The sequence below is a fragment of the Homo sapiens genome, chromosome 1, assembly GCF_000001405.40.
Source record: "Homo sapiens chromosome 1, GRCh38.p14 Primary Assembly".
NCBI classification, from domain to species: domain Eukaryota; kingdom Metazoa; phylum Chordata; class Mammalia; order Primates; family Hominidae; genus Homo; species Homo sapiens.
This window is the reverse complement of record NC_000001.11, coordinates 118,177,000-118,185,228: the sequence shown is the minus strand read 5'-3', so window position 1 is coordinate 118,185,228 and position 8,229 is coordinate 118,177,000. Positions and strand designations below refer to the sequence as shown.

General features: G+C 34.9%; 1 protein-coding gene across 6 annotated transcripts in view; it reads left to right on the top strand.

Moving 5' to 3' along the window:
- SPAG17 (sperm associated antigen 17) overlaps positions 1–8,229 on the top strand; it is a 231,639-nt gene continuing 223,410 nt past the window's right edge. For all 6 annotated transcript variants that reach the window (XR_946574.2, XM_006710427.4, XM_006710426.4 and 3 more), the window contains exon 1: positions 1–158. Coding sequence is in view for 5 of the 6 variants with exons in the window: in XM_006710427.4 (XP_006710490.1) it covers positions 72–158 (87 nt within the window). In the remaining variant the exon portion in view is untranslated. The remainder of the gene's footprint in view (positions 159–8,229) is intronic.

Genomic DNA, 8,229 nt, shown 5'->3' with positions numbered 1-8,229 from the left:
ACTGTGGTAGCGGGGACGCTTAGGCAGGGCCTGCGCCCAGTTTAGAGGCCAATGCTTCTCCCGTCCTTTGCATGGCACCCAAGAAGGAGAAAGGAGGAACTGTGAACACCAGTTCTAAGATATGGGAACCCTCGCTCATAGCTGCACAGTTCAATCAGGTGAGCCTTGAGCCCTTTAAGCCCTCCCTGCCCCCGGCAATGCCAGAGGCCCGGCCAGACCCTCCTAGGCGACGCCTTAAGGCTCGCCCTCTCTTCCGTATCTCTCCGTGGCCTGATGGTTCCAGGACCCAGGGTCCCAGGGACAGGAAGTGCTTGATAAACGAACGGAACTTAAGGGAACACCCACCAGGTGAGTCAGTGTGATTTCAAAGGTTGGTGAGAACTGCCTAGTGGGGAAGAGAGGAGGTGTCGCTCTGACACCTCCAGAACCTTTTCAGTGAAGTCGTCCAGATGGCACTCCACAATTGTACTGGAATTCCTTTTATGGACTTTTTGTTTTCTCCTGAAACCTTCTAAAGGATGAGAATCGCATCAAATCATCTGTGGCCTGGCCCATAATAGGGCTTTAATAAATGCTGAGTGAAAACAGACACGGAGTGCCTAGAATTACACTGTATTTAGTACAAGCGAGCCTTGTATAGATAGGAAAAGATGATTTTTTAATGTAATGCCCTGATCCCACTATATTAAAGTTTTGACATATTTTTAAGGTGTGGGAGATCAGAGCAATGAGGGGTTGGCGGCCAACTTACCCACAGAATGCCACAAAGGCACCAGGCAATCTACAAACCACCTACCACAGGACTTCAAAGTGCATGAGATCCCAGAATTCACTGGCTCCCCACCCAGCTTCAGTAAATGAGGAGCCCAATAGCTCTTGTCACCTGCAGCTGGAAATCCCCTTCTACATTAAGCTGTTTCTACGTACAAGTTAGCATTTGGGAAGAGAAAAGTTGTTTCTGGAAATTCCAGCCCGCCATTATGAACTACTTTGAAAAGTGGGGAAAAAAAATTTTTTTTTCATTTTATATATGTCTGTATGGTGCACTAGAGAGTCAGTACTTAAAGGGAAAATGGATCTAAAGTCTTGTGTTGCCTTCATGAGAAATTTTTACCTGTCTTTATTTTCCACTATAACTGTTTTTTTTTCCTATTAACAGTAATTCTGTTTGATAAGGAAATTAGTCCTGATGAAGAATTTCATGAAAGTAGTTGTGATACTCCTGATGCTGATGTGATGTCATGGAATTTTGGGTCCTTTCTATAACTTTAGTAATGCTGGATGTCAACTCAGTAATCCCCAGTTACATTCTCAAATTCTCAAAGATGTTTTTCAAAGCACTTTGTAAAAGCACCCTCTCTTTTGCTTTTATAAGTCAGCGCTAGCCAAAATAATTTTTTCTCCATTTTCTTTGAGATTGTGTAGGCCAAGTTTGGTCTTGGAGTGAACATTTCTGCTTGAATTATAAACTGCTGAACAACGGAGTTTGATGGAGGTGCTGACACTGCATTAGCTTTAGTGTTGCAAATATGAAGCTATAATTTTCCTAGTTGAATGGAAAACCTAAAGGCACTATTTGTCCTTATGGCTTGAAAACCTGAAATAATATTCAGCTTTCTTGATCCTACTCAAACAATATAACTTCAATAAATCTTATGTATTAATAGAAAGAATTTGAACTCAAAGTAATATGTAGTTTTAACTATAAACAGTGAACTCAATTTTCTTCAGTTTGTTGGAATACACATTTTCTTATTGCAGGAAAAAGACAACTACCCTCCACCTCCTCTCTCATTTTTCTCTGCTTGATTTCATGTCTGATCTAAAAGAATAATTCCCAGATTAACCCAGCAGTTCAATGCCCAGAGGCGTGCCCTAACCACCAATGAAACGGACTCTGAATTTAGGTTATAGATGACTGTGGGTGTGTGAATTTTGAGCACACGTAGTGTGCTCTATTGTTTTAGTATCCAGAGAGTTTCTTTCCATACACTTGTTACTCATGTCCAAGTATGTGTGGTTGAGTGTGTGTGCTAGTTTATGTGTTGTATTATGTGTGTGTGCTGGGGGTGAGAGAGAAGGAAAGAATTCCTCCAGTCTTCCATAAACAAGTTTTTAGAAGTAACTCATTGGATAACCCAAATCAATAGTATTTTTGAACTCATGTTCATGTTGGGTAGGCTTTAAAGAGAATAAACAAGTTCACATTTTGGTTTTATTGAATTTACCTTGTATCACTGTCTCAGGTTGTCCTTTCAGGCTGGAATAATTATCAGTTGTTTCATACATTTTAGTTGGTTTTAAAATATAAAATGATAGCAAATAATACAAAGCATTCTATCACTAAGCACTAAATGATTAAATAGAGACTAGAGGTTAGGAAGATGAATATGGGCTGGGATAGTCAGGAAATGATTTGTAAAATATTTGCCTTCACCTGGGCTCTAAATAATGGGTGGAATTTGAACAGGTAGAATGAAGAAGCATGATTATTTTAAGTAGGGAGACTAATATGTGCACCAAGTAAATCTGATACATTTAGATTGGGAGAAAAATGTACGTTAGACCACTTCTGGGTCTACGTTGCTCCTAAATTAATTCCGTCAAGGAAATGGTCATTTACTATCTTTGCTATCCATATACCAAAATATTTAACTTACTGATATGAGTGAAATATCACATCTCAAATTATATAAAAAGAAAATAGGTACATTGGCAATAAGATAAAAATACCCTTTTGTGTTAGTATGTATGTGACATAGACATTATATTTATGATCTCTAGCAGCATTAGAAAGTCAAAGATGCCTTGGTATCATAGAGATTAAAATCTTTCCATGCAATGGTCAAGGCAGGCTCTATTGGCCACAGTGATAGGAAGAAGTGTTAACCTTAGCACTCGGTACTATTTAAACAATATTAATTCCCCATCCTTCCCTCTCCTCACCCCCTGGAAGCTGCCATTGTACTTTCTTTCTCTCCAAATTTGACTACTTTAGGTACTTCATGTAAGTGGAATCATGTAGTATTTGTCTTTTTGTGACTCTTATTTTTACTTAACATAATGTCTTCAAGGTTCATTCATATTGTAACATGTCTCAGAATTTCCTTACTTTTTACATTTTATTTATTCATTCATTCATTGATGGGCACTTGGGTTGCTTTCACCTCTTGGCTGTGGGTGTGCTAAAATCTGTTGGAGTCTCTGCTTTAAAATCATTTGGGTATGTGTACAGAAGTAGAATTGCTGGATCATATGATAATTCTGTATTTAATTTTGTTTTGAGACGGGGTCTGTGTGGCCCAGGCTGATCTCAAACTCCTGGACTCAAGCAATCCTTCCACCTCGGGCTTTCAAAGTGCTAGGATTGCAGGATTAAGCCACTGTGCCCAGATTTAATTTTTTGAGGAACTACCATATCATTTTGCACAGTGGCTACATCATTTTGCATTCCCACCAACAATGTACAAGGATTTCCATTTCACCACATCTGTGCCAGCACTTTTTATTTTTTATTTATTTATTTTTTGGTGAGGTTTGTTTTTGTTCATTTTTTGGTTTTGTTTTTGATTTTTTAATAATAGCTGTCCTAACAGATATGAGATGATAGCTCACTGTGGTTTAGATGTTCATTTCTCTAATGATAAGTGATGTTGAGTGTCTTTATTCTTTGTCTCTTGTAACAACTTTTGACTTAAAGTCTTTTTTTGTGTGTAATAGTTGCTTAACTTCCCCTGCTCTCTCTTGGTTACTATTAATATTTGCATGGAATATCTTTGTCTGTTCCTCACTTTCAACCTATGCATATCCTTAGAGCTAAAGTGAATCTCTGCACACAGCATATACTTGGATTCTGAGTAGTTTTGTTTTTTTTTTAATCCATTCTGCCAGTCTCTGTTTTATTATTGTAGGGTTTAATACATGTACATTTAAAGTAATTACTGGTATGAAAAGACTTACTTTTGCTAGTTTATTATTTCTTTTCTATATGCCTGACAGATTTTTTTGTCCTTTGTTACCTCCATTGGTGCCTTTGTTTAGTTGATTTTTTTGTGTGACATGTTTAGAATGCCTTTTCATTTTCTTCTGTGTATATTCTATAGATATTTTCTTTGTGGTTACCATGGGGATTACATATATCATAAAATTATAATAATCTGTCTTAAATTGATACTAACTTAATATCAATTGCTTATATAAATTCACTTTACAGCTTCACCTTCTGCATGACTTATGATGTCACAAATTACATCTTTATATACTATGTACCCATTAGCATAGATTTATAATTAATTTTATACATTTTTCTTTAACTCCTGTAGAAAATAAAGTGGATTTGCAAATCAGATTACAATAATACTGTTAAAAATAAATTTGTCCATGCATTTTTTTACCAAAGAAATTTATATTTTTTATAGCTTTCAGCTACTATCTAGCATCCTTCATTTCAACTTCAAGGACTCCCTTTAAAATTTTTTTATCAATTTTATTTTTGTATTCATACGTAATAGAGGTACACATTTTAGAGGTACATGTCATAATTTAATACAATCATATAGTTTGAAAAGATCAAATGACTATAAGTAGGATATTCATCACTTTAAATATTTGTCTTTTCTTTATACTAGAAACATTCCAATTATTCTCTTCTAGCTTTTTTGAAATATATGATAGATTATTGTAAATTATAGTCACTCTACTGATCTATTAAACACTAGGACTTATTTCTTCTATCAAACTCTATATTTGTACCCATTAAGCAAACTCTATGCCCTGGCTTCGCTACTTTTCCCAGCCTCTGATAACTGTCACTCTACTCTTTATCTTCATGAGATCTACTTTTTTATTTCCTACATAAGAGTGAGAACATACGATATTCATCTTTCCCTTATTTCACTTAACATAATGAACGCCAGTTCCATCCTTGTTGCTATAAAGGACAAGATTTCATATTGTATGGCTGAATAGTATTTCATTGTGTATATGTACTGCATATATACAGTTTTCTTTATTGATTCATCTGTTGATGGGAACTTAGATTGATTCCATACTTTGGCTATTGTGAATACTGCTGCAATAAACATGGAAGTGCAAATCTTTCTTTGATACATTGATATCATTTATTTTGGCTATATACCAAGTAGCAGAACTGCCGGATTATATGGTAGTTCTACTATTAGTTTTTTGAGGAATCTCCCTACAGTTTTCTATAGTGTCTGTACTAATTTACATTCTCATCAGCAGTATACAAGAGTTCCTCTTTCTCCACATCCCTGCCAACACTCATTATTCCCTGTCTTTTTGATAAAAGCCATTTTAACTAGGGTGGGATGATATCTCATTGTAGTTTTGATTTGCATTTATCTGATGATTAGCGATGTTGAGCATCTTTTCATATACCTTTTGGTCATTTGTACATCTTTTTTGAGAAATGTCTATTTGAATCCTTTGCCTATTTTTAAATCAGATTATTTGGGGTTTTTTCCTATTTAGTTGTTTGAGCTCCTTAAATACCTGGTTATTAATCCCTTGTCAGATGGATAATTTGCAAATATCTTCTCCCACTCCATGAGTTGTCTTTTCACTTTGTTGATTGTTTTCTTTGCTGTGCAGAGCTTTTTAACTTGATATGATCCCACTTCTCTATTTTTGCTTTGGTTGCATATGCTTTTGAGGTCTTACACAAAAAAATACTTGCCTAGACCAATGTCCTGAAACATTTCTCCAATGTTTTCTTCTAATAATTTCATAGTTTCAGGTATTAGATTTAAGTCTGCAATCCATTTTGATTTGATTTTTGTTTATGGAGAGAGACAGGGGTCTAGTTTCATTCTTCTGCATATGGATATCCAGTTTTCCCAGCATTTATTTCCCATTTATTGAAGAGACTGTCCTTTCCTATTGTAAGCTCTTGGCACTGCTGTTGAAAATGAGTTTACTACAAATTCGTGTATTTATATCTGAGTGCTCTATTCTGTTCCATTGGTCTATGTGTCCATTTTTATGTGAGTCCCATGCAGATTTGTTTACTATATTTTGAAATCAGTTTGATGCCTCTAGCTTTGCTCTTTTTGCTTAAGAATCCTTTGGTTCTCCTGGGTTTTGTGTGGTTCCATGTAAATTTTAGGATTTTTTTTCTATTTCTGTGAAGACCGTCATTAGTATTTTAATAGGGATTGCATAACTGTAAATTATTTTGGATAGTATGGATATTTTCACAGTATTAATTCTTCCAATCCATGAGCATGGGATATCTTTTCTTTTTGGTGTATATCCTCTTCAATCTCTTACATCAGTGTTTTCTAGTTTTACTTGTATAGATCTTTCATTTCTTTGATAAAATTGATTCCTAGGCATTTTATCACTACTGCAAATGGGCTTACTTTATTGATTTTTTTTCAGATTGTATGCTGCTGGTGAATATAAGTGCTACTGATTGCTGTATGTTGATTTTGTATCCTGCAACTTTACTGAATGTTGATTTTGTATCCTGCAACTTTACTGAATATATCAGTTCTAACAGTCTCTTTGGTGAAGTCATTAGATTTTTCTAAGTATGAAATCATGTCTGTGAACAATGCTAATTTGACATATTTCTTTTCAATTTGGATGTCCTTCATCTCTATCTCTTGCCTAATTGTTCTGGCCAAGATTTCCAGCATTATATTGAATAAAAGTGGTAAAATTCAGCATCCTTTTCATCCTATTCCAGATCTTAGAGGAAAGGCTTTCCATTTCTTCCTGGTCAGTATGATTTTAGCTGAGGGTTTGGCCTTTATCATTTGAGGTATGTTTCTTCTACACCCAGTTTTTTATGGTTTTCATCCTAAAGGGATGTTAAATTTTGTCAAATGCTTTTTCATCATCTATTGAAATGATCATATATGTTTTGTTCTTGGTTCTGTTCATACAATGTATCATGTTTCTTGATTTACATATGTTAAGCCATCCTCGCATTCCTGACATAAATTCCACTTGATAATGGTAAATTATCTTTTTAATGTGTTGTTGAATTTGGTTTGCTAGTATTAGGTTGGTGCAAAAGTAATTGCGGTTTTGGCCATTTTAATGATATTTATCACTTTATCAGTGATACTGACCTATAGCCTTTTACGTTGTTGTTTCTTTATGTGGTTTTGGTATCAAGGTAATGCTGGCATCACAGAGTAGGTTTGGAAGTATTCTCTTTTTCTCAATTTTTTTGAAGAATTTGAGTAGAATTGGTAAGAGTTTTACTTTAAATGTTCAATAGAATTCAGCAATGAAGCTGTCATGTCCTGGGGTTTTATTTGGTGGGAAATTTTTTATTACAGCTTCAATCTTATTATTCATTATTGGTTTGTTAAAATTATCTATTTATTCATGGTTCAATCTCAGTAAGTTGTATGTGTTAGGAATTTATCCATTTCTTCTAGGTTTTCCAATTGTTGGTGTTCAGTTGTTCATAATAGTCTCTCATGATTCTTTGCATTTCTGTGGTCTTAGTTGTTATATCTCCTATTTTGTTTCCAAGTTTATTTACCTGGCTCTTCTCTCTTTTTTCTTAGTCTAGCTAAAGATTTGACAATTTGTTTATCTTTTCAAAAAAACCAACTTGTTTTATTCCATTGATCTGTATTTTTTTAGCTTCATTTTCATTTATTTCTTCTCTGATCTTTATTATTTTCCTTCCGCTAATTTAAGGTTTGATTTGTTCTTGCTTTTCTAGTTCTTTGAGATGCATGACTGATATGGTTTGGATCTGAGTCCCTAACCAAATCTCACCTTGAATTGTAATCCCCATAATCCCCATGTGTCAAGAGAGACCAGATGAAGATAATTGAATCATAGGGGTGGTTTTCCCCATGGTGTTCTTGTGATAGTGAGGGAATCTCGCAAGATCTTATGGTTTTATAAAAGGCTGTTCCCCTGAACTGGCTCATATGCTTTCCCACCTGCTGCCATGTAAGATGTGCCTTTGCTTCTCCTTCATCTTCCACCATGATTGTAAGTTTTCTGAGGCCTCCCCAGCAATAGAGAATTGTGAGTCATTAAACCTCTTTTCTTTATAAATTACCCAGTCTTGAGTATTTCTTCATAGTGATATGAGAATTGACTAGTATAATTATTAAGTTGTTTTATTTGAAGTCTTTCTACTTTATGGATACAAGTGTATTCCAATAAACTTTCCTCTTAATATTTATTTTGCTGTATTCCATAGATTTCAGTATGTTGTTTTTCCATTTTCAT